Source organism: Homo sapiens, chromosome X (assembly GCF_000001405.40).
Source record: "Homo sapiens chromosome X, GRCh38.p14 Primary Assembly".
Taxonomy (NCBI): domain Eukaryota; kingdom Metazoa; phylum Chordata; class Mammalia; order Primates; family Hominidae; genus Homo; species Homo sapiens.
This window is the reverse complement of record NC_000023.11, coordinates 77,895,789-77,917,615: the sequence shown is the minus strand read 5'-3', so window position 1 is coordinate 77,917,615 and position 21,827 is coordinate 77,895,789. Positions and strand designations below refer to the sequence as shown.

General features: G+C 40.9%; 2 protein-coding genes across 4 annotated transcripts in view, besides 1 other annotated feature; both read right to left on the bottom strand.

Moving 5' to 3' along the window:
* Positions 1-6,923, bottom strand: part of ATP7A (ATPase copper transporting alpha) — a 139,703-nt gene extending 132,780 nt beyond the window's left edge. For all 3 annotated transcript variants that reach the window (NR_104109.2, NM_000052.7, NM_001282224.2), the window contains exon 1: positions 6,781-6,923. The gene's annotated coding sequence lies outside the window, so the exon portion shown is untranslated. The remainder of the gene's footprint in view (positions 1-6,780) is intronic.
* COX7B (cytochrome c oxidase subunit 7B) lies at positions 10,240-18,148 on the bottom strand. The gene is made up of 3 exons (NM_001866.3): positions 18,023-18,148; positions 14,849-14,973; positions 10,240-12,432 (listed from the first exon to the last, which is right to left on the bottom strand). The coding sequence occupies exons 1-3, from the start codon at positions 18,060-18,062 to the stop codon at positions 12,355-12,357; spliced, it is 243 nt and encodes an 80-aa protein (NP_001857.1). The 5' UTR covers positions 18,063-18,148; the 3' UTR covers positions 10,240-12,354.
* Positions 17,945-18,194: an enhancer, noted in NCBI's record as "active region_29782". NCBI's record gives its function as "activates an Ori minimal core promoter by ATAC-STARR-seq in GM12878 lymphoblastoid cells {active_cell/tissue: GM12878}" and the evidence as "EXISTENCE:reporter gene assay evidence [ECO:0000049][PMID:35858748]".

Here is a 21,827-nt window from a genome sequence, read left to right as displayed (position 1 = left end):
ATTCTACCAACTATCACAGAATGTATTTATTTCTCTTTCCTTTACTAACCTCCTTTTATTTCTCCCAACCTTTCCTTGGACTTCCTACTGGCACTTCATGTGTACATTGCTTAACTGATACAAGGGTTACTGACCCCAACCACTCTGTAAATATCAGTTTGTTGCCTATAGAGTTGTGTCACTGAGAAAACTTACTATAAAATTCTAAACTTAAACAAATTAGAGTAGAGATGAGATCAAACCAAGGCAGTATGACCCCAAAGCCCCAAACCCTCTCCAGAACAGTGTATCCAAAGGACTTTTAGACAGACTTAAATAGTTCTTCAAAGCATTCAAAAGATGGTCTGCATCTATCACTTGCAGTGCTCCTCCCCAACATAAAATCTCTACTACAATCAAGCAAGTCCCTTCACTGATTGCCATATAGTCCATGCTCTTATCATTTATTTCTATGACTTTGTTTAGAACTGGTCCCCTCACCTAGAATGTTTTCTTGCACATATTTAAGTTCTATTACTTCACTAGTCTGTAAACTCCACAGAAACAGGACCATATCTGCTCTGTTCACTATCATACCACCAGTGAACATGGTGGCTACTCAATAAATCACTGTTGAGTAAGTAAATGAACTGAAGTCCCACCTCCTTCATGAAAAATCATGTCAAATACTCCTAGCCACTTTCTTTTTAAATTCCGAATACCCTGGAATCAGTTTCATAGTTTAGTAGTACCTAATTTCTCTCTGCTTGGTATTAAACTTCTTTCTCTTGCTAGACATTGGAACATATGCCTTATGCTTCTTTGTATAGCTCACAGGAAACACTGAATATGCAATAAGCACACAATAAAAATGTACTAATCAAAGTGCTGACATGCTTTGTAAAAATTCAATTTACACACAACTTTGTAAGAATGCAGCTATTTGCAGAGTAGGTTAGACATACATAAGGCCTTTTCCCTTGCTTACACTGTATCACAACTTATTCAGTACAAGTATGGTTCAGCATTTGACAATTAGGGAATGTGGAAAATCTCGATGGCCTAGAGTCTGTGGCTCACTAATTACAGAAGCAGATTGTTATGAGTTTTCTTGATAGGGAAATAGGATGAGCACATCACAGTGATTTGATTTGCCAGCTGTAATAATGAGCTTTAAGATGCCATGTTAGCATATGTAGGTGTACTATAGGCTACTGGGGGACCCTCTCAATCTGAGTTTTCCATTTTCTTTCTCTTTTTTTTTCTTTTTTTTTTTTTTTTTGAGACAGGGTCTCACTCTGTCACCCAGGCTGGACTGCAGTGGCATGATCTCAGCTCATTGCAGCCTCAACCTCCCAGGCTCAAGCAATTCCCCCACTTTAGCCTCCCCAGTAGCTGGGACTATAGGCGCATGCCACCACACCTGGCTATTTTTTGTAATTTTTGTAGAGATGGGGTTTCACCTTGTTGCCCAGGCTGGTCTGGAACTCCTGAATTCAAGCAATCTACCCACCTCAGCCTCCCAAAGTGCTGAGATTACAGGCGTGAGCCACCGCACCGGCCAATTTTCTATGGTGTAAGTTAGAAATTAAGTATTGTGCCGGGCGTGGTGGCAGGGCCGGGAGCGGTAGCTCAAACCTGTAATCCCAGCACTTTGGGAGGCTGAAGCGGACAGATCACCTGAGGCCAGGAGTTTGAGACCAGGCTGGCCAACATGGCGAAACCCCATCTCTACTAAAAATAAATAAATTAGCCGGGTGTGGTGGCACACGCCTGTAACCCCATCTACTCGGGGGGCTGAGGCATGAGAATCGCTTGAACCCTGGAGGCAGAGGTTGCAGTGAGCCGAGATCGTGCCATTGCAACTCCAGCCTGGGCTACGGAGCAAGACCCTGTCTCCAAAAAAAATTTTTTTAAAGAATTTAAATATTGCTTGCAAGTATTGATTGATTAGTATATTGATCCTGTAGTCTACTAAATTTATAGTACAGCAAAACTGTAATTTATAATTTTATTATATAGGATGTTAAAATTACTTTTACAGTAAATAATATATTAAAATATTAAAGGTAACTACATTTTATTGTATGTTTACTATCTGCCAGACACCGTACATGTATTAGATCATTAACAATCCTGTGAGACAGGTACTGTTATTGTCCCCATTTTAGAAATTTGAAGGAACTGAGGCACAGAGGAGTATGAAATCTGCGCAGGGTCATACAAGTAGTAAGCAGAGGGGCTGGGATCCCACCTAGACAGTCTAGCACCTGGACTGAGCCAGACAAGACAGGCTTTTTTTTTTTTTCCGGACAAGACAGGGTCTCACTCTGTCACTCTCTCATCCAGGGTGGAGTGCAGTGGTGTGATCTCAGCTCACTGCAGCCTCAACCTTCCAGGCTCAAGCGATCCTTCCACCTCAGCCTCCTGAGTAGCTGGGACTACAGGCACGTGCCAACACACTCAGCTAATTTTTGTATTTTTTGTAGAGACAGGGTTTCCCTATGTTGCCCAGGCTGGTCTCGAACGCCTGGGCTCAAGCAATCCGCCTGCCACGGCCTCCCAAAGTGCTGGGATTACAGGCGTGAGCAACTGTGCCCCACCTAGCCTCCACTCTTAATCCTATATTATACTGTCTCTCCAAAACAATATATCGCAATACAATGGTGAAGTTAAGATACCTTGAAGCATCAAGAGAATAATATCTAATACTCCAGAAAATGTTCAAAGATATTACTGTCAAGATGAAAAAACAAACATAGACCATTTCACTCCAGCCTAGGTGACAGAGCCAGACTCCATCTCAAAAATAAATAAACAAAAATAAACATTAGGTGTTTTAGTATATCTAAATATACATTTAGTATATCTTTTCTTTCTAGGAGAATCTGAGAATACAATTAAGACACCATTTTTAACACTAGGTGTTTTAAGGCCTGGCACAGTGGCTCATGCCTGTAATCCCAGCACTTTGGGAGGCTGAGGAGGGTGGATCACTTGAGGTCAGTCAGGAGTTCGATACCAGCCTGACCAACATGGCAAAACCCCTTCTCTACCAAAAATACAAAAACTAACCAAGTGTGGTGGCGCGCACCTGTAATCCCCGCTACTTGGGAGACTGAAGCAAGAGAATCACTAGAACCCAGGAGGCGGAGGTTGCAGTGAGCCGAGATAGCACCACTGCACAGCACGATGCTGTCTCTACAAAAAGTTTAAAAATTAGCTGGGAGTGGTGGCACACACCTATAGTCCCAGCTACTCAGGAGGCTGAGGTAGGAGGATCGCTTGAGCCTGGGAGATCGAGACTGCAGTGAGTTATGATGGCGCCACTGCACTCCAGCCTGGGTGACAGAGCAAGACCCCATCTCTTAAAAATAATATTATTTAAAAAATAATAATTAATTAATAAATAAGTAGCTAGGCATGGTGGCATGCGCCTGTGGTTCCAGCTACTTGAGAGGCCAGAGGATCATTTGAGCCCAGGAGATTAAGGCTGCAGTGAGCTATGATTGTGCCATGGCACCCTAGCCTGGGCCACAGAGCGAGGCCCTGCCTCTAGAAATAAATACATAGATAAATAATAACAATAACATCTTTTAAAATAAAAATAAAATAAAATAAGGTTAATGGCCAGTCTAAAACAATATCCCTACAATGTGAAATAACCCATTTATTTCAACTGGTAAATTGTTAAAAATGCACTCCTGATTATAGGTCTGAAAAACTGGACTTCTACACTAGAGATTAATAGTAAAAATAAGTAAAACTCTTTTTTCATCCTTGAGACATAGCTGTATAATTTTAAATGTGAACAGAAAATATGGTACAAAGTACACATAACTGACTCAAAATGGGGTATTTTACCCTCATTTCCTTCAAGGAAAGAGGTATCTGTGAAAACTGATGTAGTCTACCAATATCTCATACATTTGGGCACAAAAAGATTAGGAAATCACTTCAATTTGCAAACAGTGCTGGAAAAAGTAAGAACATTTTATAAAATCAGAAACACAGGACCCTTTTACTTTAATGAAACACATTCTAAAGGAATTTTGATATTTTTCCTGCCAAACTATCTCAGCAAGTTAAGTAAGCAAGTAATATCACATTAAATCAACCTGAAGACTGAGATTTAAGAGGGAAAAACATGATTGCTGGGATGGTAGAGTGAACTAAAATACTCTGCCTAACCATTGCCTATCACTCATCTGTCCCCCAGCCTCCCCCTTGCCCCGGCCCCATGTTGAGCTATATCCTAAGAAATATCGTTGTCTAAAAACAAAACGCTAAAACCTGAACTGCCCTTTAACAAAGATGAATAGAAGGAATTTTGAGACAAAACTCCCAAATACTATTCTCATCTATGCTAGTGCTTCTATGAGTTCAGACAAAAATCTCTCCTTGCAATTTACTTTCCCAACTGGCAAATGAAGATTATTTTCACTCATCAGGATGTCCAAAGTCTTGATTAATAAAGTTTGCCAAGAGCTTTTAAATATATAGATAAAAGGAGTTATAACAAGGAATTTATTTTTTTAAAATGTATTTCCTTTAGCGCCCTCACAGAAGTGAAGGTTGTGGTGTGTTAGCTGGGGTTATTTTTGCACTCTTTTCTCTCTCTCTCTTGTTTTGTAAGCAAATTTTACTGCTTCTGCAAGCATTTTTCAAAGAAAATCAACCTTCTGCTTTAGAGAACAGAGATGTTAACCTATCCTTTGGAGGGATTAGTGTTTAACCTTATCTTGAGGGCAGGCATCAAGATCTTTCTAAGGCTGTGATCGGAATAGAATAGTTCCTATCAAGTTAAGAAGATCAATAGAGAGAAATCAATTTAGAGGAAAAAAGGAAAAGCAGAGATTCCTTGGGGAAAACCTGGAACAGTTGCTCACTTCAGAAAATGTTATTCATTCCCAACAATTTTAAAAATGATTCCAAATTATATTTAAGGCACAACACTCAATCAGAATTAAAGTATAGCGAGTTTTACATTTTTTCTCTTTTAGATTTGAGTTTACATCAGAATTAAGCCTCATACATTAACATTGCTTTTGTCATTTCCATGTATTTTTTTCTCTATATAAGCTTTCTTATTGGCTGGAGGGCAGTTGGATATGTTTGTGAGCTGACTAGTTTTGTATTCTATATTTTTTCTAATTTTAATCAGTGACATCTTGGAAGATGTGGCTGTTAGAAATAGGAATATTGACTTACAGTGTGTTACTGGATGTCGGGCAACTTTCCAGACCCCCATGGCTTTGCTCACATTATTTCTTCTATCTATCAGTCCAGATAGATGTCTTCCTCTTCCTCCATTCCTGCAAAGCTAAATCCTATCTATTTTTCAAAGCCCAGTTCACATGCTCCCTTCCCTGCACTCTCATAACACCTCCTGTTTCTAATATATAACGTTAGTGAGATTTTTTAAATGTTTAGGTAATCGTGTATCTTTCTTTCCTACTACATTGAGATCCTCAAGTACAAAAAAAACTCTCTCATGTCATGACCTTAGACACCAGAAAATGTTAAATATAATAAAATGCCAGTTCAAAAATAACCATTGAAAAGGATGTGATAAGCAACCTAGTAATTCAGTCAGTGGGGCTGCTAGAAACCGTTGTCTTCATAGCTGAATTCAACTGACTCAATTCGGACTCAATTGTATGTAAACTGTTTATTTTTCTTTCTTCTTTTTTGGAGACAGTTTCGCTCTTGTAGCCCAGGCTGGAGTGCAGTGGCACGATCTCGGCTCACTGCAACATCCGCCTCCCAGGTTCAAGCGATCCTCTTGCCTCAGTCTCCCGACTAGCTGGGATTACAGGCGCCCGCCACCACGCCCAGCTAATTTTTGTATTTTTAGTAAAGACAGGGTTTCGCCATGATGGCCAGGCTGGTCTCGATCTCCTGACCTCAGGTGATCCACCCTCCTCGGCCTCCCAAAGTGTTGGTATTACAGGTGTGTCAGACACTGCGCCCAGCCTACTGTAAGTAAACTCTTTTGAGGCCAGGAACTCTGTCTTATTTCTTGTGCATCACCCCCTCCCCACCACCCCCCCGCACCCGGCAAAAAAAAAAAAAAATTAATAACCTCAGTATCATCTAATTCAATGTTCTGCACATATTCTCAATACAAAGCCATACTATTGTAGATAAAGAGTCTGTGATTAAAATAAAGATCAGATCCTGGACAAACGCTGAATTGTGAAACGATAAGTGTTTGTGCTTAAGATAATCTCAACGTCTACAACGAAGAAAAGTGTCAAAGATAAGATGCCACAGGGTCGGACAATGGACAGTAACTTTACTGGAAAGGGGGCACAATGAACAAAACTAAGTGGAAACAAGAGTTCTCTCAGTTTACCTTACGCTCCCAGAGCAAGACAAGAAGCCAAATATCTATTTTTCAATTATTATTTCATCAATTATGGTCATTTTAGTAACCTTAGCTTCCAAAGTATAAAGAGGTGTCACTAAGCAAAGACCCCAGTCCATGTGACTTTCAATGCCAAACACAAACTTTCTTGTACCCTCAATTAATTGGGTAACGTAGGCCATGGATGATCAGGACATTCTCTCCAAGAGGGTACAAGAAAGTGACACAGGTCAGGATTTAATTTCCCCTCCTCTATCCCCTGTTAGGGGAGGTAAAACATAAATGTAGTTAATACCTGAATTGTGAATAAGTGAAACTTTCGAGACTGCCCCAGACTAACATGACCTTCTCACCACACTCGTAGTACAAACTGACAGCACAGAAGACCCCCTCCAGGAGAAAGGACGACGGGAAGCCAATGTAGGACTTACCTGGTTTCTCTATCCTATGGTTAAACCTCTGGAGCTACGCAGACCGTGGCAGCGATAAATCCACGTACGCAGGCTCCAACAAAGCTCACACAATCGGAGAAGTCACAGTAGCTGCGGCTGCGGCGGCGGCAGCAACAACTCCTCCCTCTGCTTCTCTTTTCCCACCCCCCGCCGCGGCGGCCAGCCGCCTTTACCCCTCCCTCCCTCGACTACCCCCACTTCCGGGTGATGCCCCTGCCGGAAGCAGGGCCGCCACGGGAAAGAGAGCGACTGGTCACGTGAAAAGGAACGCGTGGTCTAGAGCCAGCTTCTCCTGCCCCCTGCTGCCCCCGGGCCGACACGCAGCCTCGAGTGGGTCTTTGTTAGGGTACGAGTCCACTATCCCACCCCGCCCCCACGACAAAAGCGAAACCAGAAAACCCATACTAAAACAGTGCCTTTGTCATCTTTAGTTTCCTAACCTCAGGCCAAGATGTAACATAAAAGATCCTTATAAGTCATCTTCCACATAGTTCATCTTTGCCTAGCATGAAATTCACGTGCATCTGTTAGACTGTGTTAACTGCCAAGATGTAACATAAAAGCTCCTTATAAGTCATCTTCCACATAGTTCATCTTCGCCCAGCATGAAATTCACGTGCATCAGTTAGACTGTGTTAACTGCCAAGATGTAACATAAAAGCTCCTTATAAGTCATCTTCCACATAGTTCATCTTCGCCCAGCATGAAATTCACGTGCATCTGTTAGACTGTGTTAACTTGCTTCCCGTAGACTGTGTAGCCTAATTCCAGATGTAAGTGCCAGAACTATGAATTTATCCTCTTCCCTCCATTGAAAAATTACATCAAGAGGAAAATGTTTATAAATTCATAATTTTTATATGTGTGTTGAGGGGGTAGGGACGTCACTTCACCACCTTCATAGCGCCATTCCAAGCTCTGAACCACTCCCCCATTTATTCATTCACTCGTCCATCATTTTACACACCTAGAAGATTCCGGTGATGCAAAAGTGTTACAGTCTCTGTTACCATGAGTTCATTTAGAAATGAGATGCATAAAATGTAAACAATGCAATAAATGGTACAGAAAACATTTGAAAAAAGGGTCATTTTATTCTTGCTTTCCAACTTAACATTTTGAAAAGCAGCAAAATTCTAGGATTTTTAAAACTATGAACATTAACAGTAAAAAGAGGGAGAGGCTCCATCTCACTTATTTCAAAGCAAGATGTGGCCTTTTCATATTTCCTTTCATGAAGTATCTGTCATAAGATGTAGAACAAAACTAATCACAGGACTATTTGTATTTTCATCTGGAACCATTTGAACCCAGTTCCCACAGAAGAGTATGAAGCCTAATAATGTTGCAGAAATCAAAATAGTACACAAAATACAAATATCAAGTAAATATTTGTAAAAGACTTAGAACAGCGTCCGGCACAAAGTAAGCATATTTAAGTGTTGAAATAATTTCCATCCTAGCTGTTGTCAAGTCCCTATTAAGCCTTGACAGGCAACATTTAAAATTACCCATAGATCTACATTTTAGGTCTGTGATTAAGTATTTCAGAATTATTATCCCCCTCCACACTCATCCACATAAATATAAAATTAGCCTCAGGACTCATCTTCCCAGGCATTATTTTGTAGTTGTCAATGTGTGCAGCCTTAATTATTAAGATACAAACTCAGCCCCAAATTTAAAATCTTAAAAATCACATCATATGAAATGAAGATAGCTTTTAAGTGGGTTTCCAAATATTAGCAAGTTGGTTTGTAACTATATTAACATTGTGTTAAGCATCCAAAAGAAATTCACTAAAAGGCAAAACCAAAAATATATCTTTTTCAGAAGCAGAACATTGAATCTACTAGCTATCTAGTATTTTTATGTAAATACTAAAGTTTATCACTATGAGCTGCAAGATCCTCTGCCAACCATGTACATTCTTAGGCACTCTAATATTTAACATAAAAACCTAGAGAGCTATATATATATTTTGTTGTTGTTTGGTTTTGAGAGTCTTGCTGTCACCCAGGCTGGAGTGCAGAAGTGTGATCATAGGTCCTTGTAACCTTAAACTCCGGGGCTAAAGCGATCCTTGCACCTCAGCCTCCCAAGTAGTTGGAACTATGGGCACACACCACCACACCTGGCTAGTTTTTATTTTTTTGTGTGTGGAGATGGGAGTCTCCCTTTGTTGCCCAGGCTGGTCTCGAACTCTTGGCCTCAAATGATCCTCCCACCTCAGCTGCCCAAAGTGCTGGGATTACAGATATGAGCCACCAGGCCCAGCCTAAAACTCTTGTCTTTAAATGCATCATCCCTAATCCTCCTTACCAATGCACAAGCATAGAAGGGAATGTCTTCAAGAAATAATCAGGTTTGCTGGGGGTTGAGCAGACAGCAGGTGTCCCTAAAATGCTTATGAAGTGTATTAATAACCCCAGTGACATTAAGCCAGGAGGATGGGAACTCAACATCTGTACCTCTACAACTACCACAGTACCCGTGTCTAGGTAAGTTAAAATGAATCTAAAATAACAGAACACAGGTGCTACAATAATTCTGTCCTAGAGTGAAATTAAGAATGAGATTTATGAGGTTGGGCACCGTGGCTCACGACTGTAATCCCAGCACTTTGGGAGGCCGAGGCAGGTGGATCGCCTGAGGTCAGGAGTTCGAGACCAGCCTGGCCAACATGACAAAACCCTGTCTCTACTAAAAATATAAAAATTAACCAGGTGTGATGGTGGGCGCCTGTAATTCCAGCTACTTGGGAGGCCGAGGCAGAATCCCTTGAACCCAGGAGGCGGAGGTTGCAGTGAGCCAAAATCACACCACTGAACTCCAGCCTGGATGACAGAGCAAAACTCGGTCTCAAAAAAAAAAAAAGAATGGGATTTATGACATTAACCCTAATGTTAAAATATTTCACAGCCATCCAAATAGAGTTTAAAGGATTGGCAATGATTTTAAGGTAAGTAACTTACCTAAATTCTTCAGACTTACAGATACTTGAGGACAGAGGACTAATTTGACGACTTTCCAACTCTAGGTATGACTGAAACTCAAAGCGATGTTACGGGTAAGTTGAGAAAATTTGTGTGAAAGGATATTTTCATGGCTCTGAGAGCACTAGGAAAGCTCCAAGGTCAGTATATACTGTGATGGCACACACACACAAAAAACTGCTTCATTTCTAGTAGTGGTCATAAGTTTTAGAATTACTCATCAGGATAAGATTAACTACAAAATTAAGTTCAAAAAGTGTGTTCAAAGTTACTACCACCACCAGGTTTTATCACACAAAGCAACATATAATTTTGATCACAAATGGACACAGAAAACATTCTAAATTGTCATACAGATGACAACTATCACTTAGCTTAGTACAAACCATACTGAAACTGCTTCCACGTCGTGAGAAATAAGTGTTAATTCAGTGACAAAAAGGTATATAATTGAAGGTTGACACTTCCTTAAATACATGTTTATTTTACTTCAATATCGCTCAGGGTTGTATGTATTTGAATACTTCAGTACTATTTTGAACATTCTAAATATGAAATACCATAAAGCGTTCAAATTTATCAAACAGTGGTACAATATGGTTACTAAACTTGCAACTTAATTTACAATGACGTTCAATTTTTCCTCTTCAAATAAAATCACTGACTTTGGTCCATTTGATGAGAAACTAGGACATATGCCATGACAGCATACTTCTAGCACTCTATGTAATAAGCAAAAGATAATTTAGCTAATATAGACAGGTTACCTGACTGAAATTCTACTTTCTGCTTAATTGATCACGATCAAGAAAACTACAAAAAAAAAACAAAAAACAAAACAAAACAACTACCACAGACTACAGCTCTCAGCCAAGAAAGTAATGATATATAAGCCGGGCGCGGTGTCTCATGCCTGTAAGCCTAGCACTTTGGGAGGCTGAGGTGGGTGGATCGCCTGAGGTCAGGAGTTCAAGACCAGGTTGGCCAACATGGTGAAACCCCATCTCTACTAAAAATACAAAAATTAGCCAGGCATGGTGGCAGGCGCCTGTAATTCCAGTTACTAGGGAGGCTGAGACAGGAGAATCACTTGAATCCGGGAGGCAAAGGTTGCAGTGTGTCAAGATCACACCACTGCACTCCAGCCTGGGCAACAGAGTGAGACTTCATCTCAAAAAAGAAAAACAAAGAAATATGTGGTACAGATATTGCTCTTCTTCAGGTAACATACATAAAATCCAATGTTATATACTAAAATAATAATCCACAAATCCAAACATTGTTATAATTATACAACAGGTGACTGATAGTAGATAACTAGGAACAGACTGCATTTGACAAGATTTTCTTTAATAACATCATAAACATCCCTAATATGATGAAAGACCAAGAGCTATAATCAAGATGAATATGCCAAAACAGCCAAGGAGCTAGTAGCTAGTCTTCAGACAGGCTACGAGTTTGTTTTATAGGACCACTCCGCCCTTGGGTCTGGTGACACTTTAAGTTTTCTAGGCAGGAGTGAAAAGGAGTTAATAATGCCAATTCCAGGTATAAATACAAATGAGAGGCACATAGTAGTAGGCATAACCAAAATCCAGGCCAAATTTTTGGCTCAAAGGTGATCTGCAATAGTTCCATGATCAGTTATTTATAATTTCAGCTTACTATAAAGTTGACTTCCAGGTCAAAGGCAAATTTTCCTTTCACATTACCTCATAAAAGCCATTTAAGGGCTGGGTGCCGTGGCTCACGCCTGTAATCCTACCACTTTGGGAGGCCAAGGCAGGCGGATCACCTGAGGTCGTGAGTTTGAAACCAGCCTGACCAATATGGTGAAACCCTGTCTCTACTAAAAATACAAAAATTGCCGGGCACGGTGGCTCACACCTGTAATCCCAGCACTTTGGGAGACCAAGGTGGGTGGATCACGAGATCAGGAGCTCGAGACCAGCCTGACCAACATGGTGAAACCCCGTCTCTACTAAAAATACAAAAATTAGCCGGGCCTGGTGGCGTGCACCTGTAATCCCAGCTACTTGGAAGGCTGAGACAGGAGAATCGCTTGAACCCGGGAGGCGGAGGTTGCAGGAGCCGAGATCACGCCATTGCATTCCAGCCTGGGCAACAGAGTGAGACTCCGTCTCAAAAAAAAAAAAAATTAGCTGGGCGTCATGGCATGTGCCTGTAGTTCTGGCTACTCGGGAGGCTGAGACAGGAGAATCACTTGAACTCAGGAGGCAGAGGTCGCAGTGAGCTGAGATGGTGCCACTGCACTCCAGCCTGGGGGACAAAGTGAGACTTCGTCCCAAAAAAAAAAAAAAAAAAAAAAAAAAACCTATTTAAGAAGCTGCACAGCATTTGACTTTAATATTAACATAAAGGCTAAAGTGATCAAGCTTAGTTTCATTTACAAAGAAACAAAACCTACAATGAAGGTTTCAAATGTACTTTATTTCTTCAATAATGCCATATCTTAATGGGTACACAGTGCTTTAATTTGGCATCAATTATGAGCTGTTTTTTAAACAATTCATTATTACACCAGCTGGGATGATTACTGATTCCTCCATTCCTTTGGGGTAACTCTGCCAACAGGGGACAGGTTCCATTCTATTCCGACTTGTGTTGCTACCTGTAAGAATTAAAATGCTGTCAGTTACGTGTTTAAACCAGAGTACACTCTCTCGGAGACTATTTCTTGAAAATGACAGATATTCTGTTCTATAGGTTAAAAATACACAGAAACTCACCTGGGATCTAATACCCTCCATATAGGCCAAACCTGATTGCTGTCCTAATTTTCTAGAGCAGTCCTGTTGTTCAATAGAACTTCTTGAGCTGAAGGAAATGTTCTAGATCTTCACTGTTAAAAACAGTAGTCACTAGCTACATGTGGCTACTAGCCACCTGGAATATGACTAGTATCACCAAGGAAATGAATTTTTAAATTTTATTTAATTCAAATTTATACTTCACATTTCTATACTACCCACTCAATACACTGATTCCCTCAACCACAACTACCTAAGTAACTGCCAGAGTATTTTATATTCTCTGTATCACTAAGGAACATTTCACCTCCAAAAGCTCCTCTGATCAAACATTTGTTCAACATCTGTTTATCCTTCTAATTAAGCACACTTTAATTTTTTTTTTGAGACTTTTTTTTTTTTTGAGACAGTCTCGCTTTATCGCCCAGGCTAGAGTACAGTGGCACGATCTCAACTCACTGCAACCTCCACCCCCTCCAACTTCAGGCGATTCTCCTGCCTCAGCCTCCCAAGTAGCTGGGACTACAGGTGCCCACCACCACGCCCGGCTAATTTTTGTATTTTTAGTAGAGATGGGGTTTCACCATGCTAGTACCAAACTCCTGACCTCAGGTGATCCACCCGCCAGGGCCTCCCAAAGTGCTAGGACTACAGGCGTGAGCCACCATGCCCAGCCTAGGCACACATCTTAATATTTGATTTCAGGAAGATCAAAACAAAAACTAAAAAGGCCTATTTATTTAAATAAAGTTTATTACATTAAGGATTAATTTGTATCTTTTTAAACCAACTTATGCATTTATTAAGACTTCGGGCCGGGCGCAGTGGCTCACGCTTGTAATCCCAGCACTTTGGGAGGCCGAGGTGGGTGGATCACGAGGTCAGGAGATCGAGACCATCCTGGCTAACACGGTGAAACCCCATCTCTACTAAAAATACAAAAAATTAGCCGGGCATGGTGGTGGGCACCTGTAGTCCCAGCTACTCGGAAGGCTGAGGCAGGAGGATGGCGTGAACCCGGGAGGCGGAGTTTGCAGTGAGCAGAGATCGCGCCACTGCACTCCAGCCTGGGCGACAGAGCAAGATTCCATCTCAAAAAAAAAAAAAACAAAAAACAAAACAAAAAAAAAAAACACAGACTTCAGGACTCCTACTTTTAGCCAGTAAGTAACAGTGACTGAAAGATAGATTGTTAAATGTAAGATGTAAAGAAACTAAAATATAAAAAGATACATTACATCTCATCTGTCACGAATACTGTGCTAAGTTCTGAGTGTAAAATTTTAAAAGAAAAATTGTTAAGTGAAGTTATGTCCAGGAAGGCGATCCAAGACAGTAAAAATCCTGGAAACCATGAACAAAAAAATTACTGATAGAACTAAGGATGTTTAATTTGAAAAAGAAAATTGAGGAGATATGATAGCAATTTTCTATTATCTGATGGCTGTTATATGGAAGTGGGTCAGAATTTCTGTGCTTCAATGAACAATGGGTAGCATAGGAAAAAGGCAGATTTTAACTCACCATATGATCCTTTTAACAGCTACACAAGGCTGGGCACAGTGGCTCACACCTGTAATCCTAGCACTTTGGGAAACCAAGGCGGGCGGATCACCTGAGGTCAGGAGTTCAAGACCAGCCTAACTAACATGGTGAAACCCCGTCTCTACTAAAAATACAAAAATCTGCCAGGCGTACTGGAGGGCGCCTGTAATCCCGCTACCTGGGAGGCTGAGACAGGAGAATCACTTGAACCCAGGAGGCAGAGGTTGCAGTGAGCCGAGATCGCGCCACTGCACTCCAGCCTGGGCAACAGAGCAAGACTCCGTCTCAAAAAAAAAAAAAAAAAAAAATAGCCAGGCCTGGTGGCACACACCTGTGGTCCCAGCTACTTGGGAGCCTGAGGCAGAAGAAGTGCTTGAACCCAGGAGGCAGAGGTTGCAGTGAGCCAAGATCGCACCACTGCACTCCAGCCTGGGGGACACAGCAAGACTTCTTCTTAAAAAAAAAAAAAAACAAAAACAAAAAAAACAGCTACACAAGATGGAAAGGGCTGCCTTGTGATCCAGTAAGCAATTTATTACTGGGAATGTTAAGAACAGAAGATGGATGAATGCTGGGGGGAAAAAATCCCCTGCACTGTGTGGGTAATTAGATTACACAATCTCTCAAGTCCCTCCTAACTAGATATGTACACTACTATGTTAAGACACTTTGAATGCATAGACTGAGAATGAAAAACATCTGAAACAGAAATTATTAATCAATAGTACTTACATATGTCCATGTAACAATACAGAAAGTGGCTCCACTAGCTAATACAGCATTACCGTATTTGTCATGAAAATCAGGTGTACGTTTCTGGTGGCTCTGCCTTGCCATTGTTTGCTGAATGCTTCGAACTTACAGGAAAACGAAAAAAGAATACAGAAGCATATTATCAATTGTCAGGTAAAGAAAACATATGTGATTGATACTGCCAATCAGGAAAGCCAAGGAAGTTAATTTTACAGTATTATGTAGTTCAATAAAATGTTAAAACATATTGTAGCTATTAAAGCAGTGTACTTTGAAATGCAACAAAAATAAGATGAATTGACAGATGGACAAATACATGATAAAACAAATAGCAAAATGTTAACTGTAGAATCTTTGTGGTGGGTATATGGGTGTTCATACGATTCTTCCAACTCTTCAGTATGTCTGAGAGTTTTCATAATAGTGTTGGGGGAAAAAAGCAAAGAATGAATGATGTCAGTAACATTCTCTACAAAGTGGTATTTGCATAACCCCTGAAATTTTGGCTCCCATTGATTAATTTGAATACTTATGACTTAAATTTTCATTAAAGTTTACTCAATAGAGCCCAACAACTTACAACATACAAGGGCAAATGAACTCAAATGAACTTCAAATTAAAGCACACTAAATGCTTATGACTGTAAAATTACTACAGTAACAAAAAAACTCGCCACAACTAGAGTAATCTTGATTTTTAAAAAATTAATGGGCCAGGCACAGTGGCTCACATCTGTAATCCCAATACTTTCGGAGGCCAAGGTAGGAGGATCGCTTGAGGCCAGGAGTTTCAGACCAGTCTGTGAAACATAGTGAGACCCTGTCTCTACAAAAAAATTGAAAATTAAAAATTAGCCGGGCATGGTGGTGCATGCACACCTGTAGTCCCAGCTACTCAGGAGGCTGTGGCCGGACGATCACTTGAGTCCAGGAGTTAGAGGATGCAGTGAGCTATGATCACACCACTACACTCCAGCCTGGGTAACAGAGCAATTCTCTGTCCCTAAAAATAAAAAATGAGAAATGGGGTATATAAAAAAGTATAAGACAGAGATCCTGTCCTCAAGTAACTTCCAGTCTAGAGGATTACACATGTAGATAAAAATCAGTATCGTACAAGGAAGCAGAATTAGCTAAGGACTTAGTTTTTGAGCAGAATGATAAAGTTTGCTGTTAGTATTATACCAGTAGAAAGAGAAGAACAAAAGTTTTCAAACGGCCCCTGGAAGAACTAAAAAGGAGGGCTTGGGAAACAGCCGAGACTGGAAAAAGCTTGTTTCTAGCTGTTTTTTTTTTTCTTCCTGTCCAATTTAAGGGGCAGGTTCTTATCGTTTTAAAGAGCCTCCAAAGGTACTTACATATATAATGAAAAGCTAGGGAGCCTGAGGCAGGAGAATCACTTGAACCTAGGAGACGGAGATTGCAGTGAACCAAGATTGAGCCACTGCACTCCAGCCTGGGCAACAAGAGCGAAACTTTGTCTCAAAAAAAAAAAAAAGAAACTGCAATGTTGCCCATTCACTAGCAATGAATATTTCTACATGGTACAATGGGTTACTTCATGATAGTTATTAGACCATTATCAGATCTTCTAACTGTCTTACATAGCTTTCCCTTTTCATCTTTTAGTCACACCGGGATAGGCAAATTTACAAATATTTCATAATATATTCTGCTCCAGAAAAGATAAAAAGTGGGCATGTGAATTCCACGCTGAAAAAAAAACAAAAAACCTTTCCTGAGGTACAAGGTGGCCCTATTTGCTCAAAGAGCAAAGAAATTAAGACTACCAAAAAATTCTGCAACATCTCATAACTTCAACACACTCATGTAACTCTGGTGGATTTCATCAGACCTCTCCTCTGTGACAACTGTTTAATTACCACACATTGGTGATCTCATATAATCCTCAACAACCCCATGAAGTAGGCATTATTTACAAATTACTTATTTTACAAAGAAGGAAACTGAGGTTGAGAGAGGCTAAATCATATGCCCAAAGTAAAAGAGATAATAAATGCTACTTTGGGAATATGAAAATAGTCCAGCTAATATTTTGTGGTTATTTTCAAAGTTGCTTAAGAGTTTAGGACACAATCTAATAATATCCTCCAATGATTCTATTAAGTGAAAATCAAAAGATGGCTAAACAAACTAAATAGTAATTACGGGTCACCTTCATTGTGTAACAACTGCCCACGTTACTCAAGGTCACCTTCGGTGCAAATCAAGTATGAAAATTAATTTGTTCTCCTCAATCTATTGCATTTTCTCTACATAATGCTGGTCTCAAAACTCCCTGTACCTGCCCAACCTTTGGATAAGAAAAAAATGACCACGATTGCCTTCAGGACAGCTAACATTGTTTTGTTTTTGTTTTCGAGACGGAGTCCCGCTCTTGTTGCCCAGGCTGGAGTGCAGTAGCAGTCTTGGCTCACTGCAACCTCCGCCTCCCGGGTACAAGCGATTCTCTTGCCTCAGCCTCCCAAGTAGCTGGGATTACAGGCGCCCACCACCACGCCCGGCTAATTTTTGTATTTTTAGTAGGGACGGCGTTTCACTATGTTGGCCAGGCTGGTCTCGAACTCCTGACCTCAGGGGATCCGCCCGCCTTGGCCTCCCAAAGTGCTGGGATTACAAGTGTGAGCCACCGCGCCTGGCCAGCTAACATTGTTAATCCACAAATAACTTCAAAGCTGCATCGATACCATTTGGGTTGTTTCCCTGCAATTAAACCAGGTGAAGAGCTAGATTTACAGTTTCCGTCTATTACAGTAATAGGAATTGGAGAAGATATTTTTCTATACAGGGTTAGGAGTAAACATATCCCCAAAGCTAAAATGTAGGACATCACTTAAGGAACGAGGTGTCTACCAAGAATGTCCTTCCCTGAAATCAAAGGTTACTGAAGAATTAAAAAGCAGGGCTAGACTATCACTCCGATAACAGAAAGAGAGCTGGAAACCGAAACAGAAATACTGGGTGATAAAGCCAATGCTAAGGACATCATCCCAATGACTTGGGACGAGATGGGAGACAGACAGCATTCAAGATTAGAAGGCCGAGATGTTCGTAAAAGGAAAGCACACGAGAGGCCGCGAGGACACATTGATATAAGGTTGTTGTAAATGATTTGTCATAATTTTTGCTCACCTTGGAGACGATTTAGTGCGCTTTTGACCAAGGGAAACATCGTGAAGGTGAAGCTAGAACTGCGGCAATACAGCTGCTGCTTTGGTGCCAATTCGCTTCAGGTACCCTTGAAGTGAGCTGAAAAACAAAATGGCTTTCAGCCGGGATCCGTAATGAGATTTGACGAAATCTCGCGATACCTGTAAAACCTATAGTAATTGCAATCCCTTTTCCCGCGAGGAAAAATAAAGGCCTTTTGGGAAATGTAGTTTCCGGCTTTATAAAATGACGTATGGTGGGTGGTATCTAATGAAGAATGAAAGAACTCCTTGAAGCCAGGTTTAGAGCTCTATAGAGGGCAGCCGAGAGACAGATCTTCGACCGAATCGTCTAAGGAACTAGCTTCAAAATGGCGTTCAAGTTCCACAAGCTTCGGTTTAGTATCTCCACACTAGCTCTTTCTTCTTTCTGTTCCCCCAAAACTTCCTTTACTTCTCTCATTTTTTTTGTCTGCTATTACTACTATACTAATTGGCTTAGCTTTTAGTTTTCAAATAACGTCAAGTTTAGAGAAAAGTTGCAAGAACAGTAAAAACTTCTGTAATATGTAGATAAATACGTGATAAAATAACTTTGGAAAGCTATTGGCCGGGCGCGGTGGCTCACGCCTGTAATCCCAGCACTTTGAGAGGCCAAGGTGGGCGGATCACGAGGTCGGAGTTCGAGACCAGCCTGGCCAAGATGGTGAAACCCCGTCTCTACTAAAAATACAAAAATTAGCCGGCGTGGTGGCGCGCGCCTGTCATCCCAGCTACTCAGGAGGCTGAGGCAGAATAATCACTTGAACCCGGGAGGCGGAGGTTGCAGTGAGCCGAGAACGTGCCACTGGACTCCAGCCTGGGCGACAGAGCGAGACTACGTCTCAAAAAGAAAGAAAGAAAAGAAAGCTGTTAGGCCTGGCGCGGTGGCTCACGCCTGTAATCCCAGCACTTTGGGAGGCCGAGGTGGGCGGATCACGAGGTCAGGAGATCGAGACCATCCTGGCCAACATGGTGAAACCCCATCTCTACTAAAAATACCAACAATTAGCTGGGCGTGGTGGCATGTGCCTGTAATCCCAGCTACTCTGTAGACTGAGGCGGCAGAATCGCTTGAACCAGGGAGTCGGAGGTTGCAGTGAGCCAAGATACCACCACTGCACTCCAGCCTGGTGACAGAGCAAGACTCCGTCTCAAAAAAAAAAAAGAAAAGAAAAGAAAAGAAAAAAAAGAAAGAAAAGAAATGGCAACACGGCAAAACCCCGTCTCTACTAATATACAAAAAATTAGCTGGGCATGGTGGCACATGCTTCTAATCCCAGCTACTCGGGAGGCTGAGGCATGAGACTTGCTTGAACCGGGGAGGCGGAGGTTACAGTGAGCCAAGATCGCACCACTGCACTCTAGCCTGAGACCTGTCCCAAAACAAAAAAAATAAAATACATACAGTTCAGTGGCATTAATGGCATTCACATTGTTGTGCAACTATCACCATTATTCATCTCTAAGACTTTTTCATCGTGTAAAACTAAATGCTTTGATTATACATTTTGACTATTGAAAATATTAACATTATTCCAAAAGTCAAAACTAAACAGACTAGTGTACTTAGAGAAGTGTCATTCCCTCCCCTAACTGTTGCATTCCATTTCCACCAATTCCTATAGGTAACCGATTTCATTACTTTCTGGTTTATCTTGTGTGTTTCCTTTTGCAAAAATAGGCAAATACCTGTATGTTTTCTTATTTCTCTATTTTATACAAATGTAGCATAAAAATCCATTATCATTTTACATAAGTCTTCCTCATTCCTTTTTTACAGCTGCAAAATCTGTGGTGTATATGTGCTATAGTATATTCAGTCAATCTCCTATGTTGGAATATTTAGGTAGTTTCAAGAATATTTCAATTTCAATAATGCTGAAATGAATAACTTTGTGCACACATATTTTCATATTGCTGGATGTCTCTCTCCAAGGTAGGTTACTAGAAGTGGGATTGCTGGATTAAAGGATAAATATATGTGTAGTTTTTTTAGATATTGCCAAATTATAGATGTTGTAACGTTTTGCCTTCCCACCAGCAACGTATTAATATAAAGGGTGCCTGACTCCCCACAGCCTTGCTAATAGCATGTAGTGTCAAGCTTTTGGATTTTTGCCAATATGATAGGTAAGATATCCCTTTTAAACTTTAAAATTTTTATTTTTAAAACATACACATAGTAAAATTCACTTTTTGGTGTACAGTTCTATGCGTTTTGACAAATGCATACAATTGTGTCACCACCACCACAATTAAGGACAGAATAGCTCTAGCATCATAAAAACACCCTTGTTTGACCTCTTTGTGATCAACCCTTTTCCCTACCCCTAGCCCCTGGCAGCCACTAATCTGTTCTCTGTACCAATGAGTTTGCCTTTTCCAGAATGTCATATATAGATTGAATCATACAGTATGTCTCAGTGTACTTTTATTTTGCATTTTTTCTTTTTTCTTTCCTTTTTTTTTTTTTTTGAGATTGAGTTTCGCTCTTGTTGCCCAGGCTGGAGTGTGATAACACGATTTCAGCTCACTGCAAACTCCGCCTCCAGGGTTGAAGCGATTCTTCTGCCTCAGACTCCCATGTAGCTGGGATTACAGGCCTGCGCCACCACACCGGGCTAATTTTTAAATTTTTAGTAGAGACGGGGGTTTTGCCATGTTGGTCAGGCTGGTCTTGAACTCCTGACCTCAGGTGATCCACCCACTTCGACTTCCCAAAGTGCTGAGATTACAGGCATGAGCCATCGCACCCGGCCTGCATTTTCTTAATATAAGTTTCCATAAATGATTTAACTTTTTTTCACATCTGTATTTCACATCTCTTCACTTCGGAACCAGCTATTTTTCTTTCCATCCCATCTCCTTGTCTCTCCAACATACTGAAATTAATTTCCTGGTTTTTTTATCCAGTAGCGCCTAAAATAATAGTCATATAATATTTTCCACACCATCAAAATAAATCCAAATTGTAGGCAGATTGATTTTATCTTGTTGGTGTTTTCCTTCTTTACAACCTTACTTTTGTACCCATCCCCCAAACAAAATAATGAATAAAAAGAAGGAATTTGCTGTCTATAACCTGCAATTAAAGTCCTTGTTGGTGCTTTAAATATTAAGTCAAGGAGTTTAACTGAAAAAACAAACAAAAAAAGCCGGCCGGGCTTGGTGGCTCACGCCTGTAATCCCAGAACTTTGGGAGGCCGAGGCGGGCGGATCACCTGAGGTCAGGAGTTCGAGACCAGCCTGCCCAACATGGCGAAACCCCGTCTCTACTAAAATACAAAAAATTAGCCAGGCGTGATGGCGGGCGCCTGTAATCCCAGCTACTCGGGAGGCTGAGGCAGGAGAATCGCTTGAACCCGGGAGGCGTAGGTTGCAGTGAGCCGAGATGGCGCCACTGCACGCCAGCCTGGGCTACAAGAGCGAAATTCCATCTCAAAAAAAGCCATAAATAAACAAAAACTTTAAAAAATAATCTTTGATGTCCTCTTTTTTCAGCGCTCCTGGCAGTTTCTAGGACACAATAGGTATTCAACAAGCTCTTGTTCATATTTACCTTTAAAAATTTCCCTCAGTGGTATTAGGTATATTTTTGCTTTCCTACTTTTATTTTTTCACTTTGAAGTACTTTGGAGGCAGGATAACGGACTAAATAGCTCTTATCCCTCACGCGGCTAGGTCCCATTTTTCTAGAATATTACATGAAGGCGGCGAATTTCAAGGACTTCTAAATGAGTCTTTGA

Excerpts from the sequence above, each read along its gene's own strand:
- COX7B (NM_001866.3), bottom strand. The coding sequence starts at position 18,062 with ATGTTTCCCTTGGTCAAAAGCGCACTAAATCGTCTCCAAG. Across the intron at positions 14,974-18,022 it reads CGCACTAAATCGTCTCCAAG|TTCGAAGCATTCAGCAAACA; the intron begins GTGAGCAAAAAT and ends TTTTCCTGTAAG. Across the intron at positions 12,433-14,848 it reads GTATTGTTACATGGACATAT|GTAGCAACACAAGTCGGAAT; the intron begins GTAAGTACTATT and ends TAATTCTTACAG.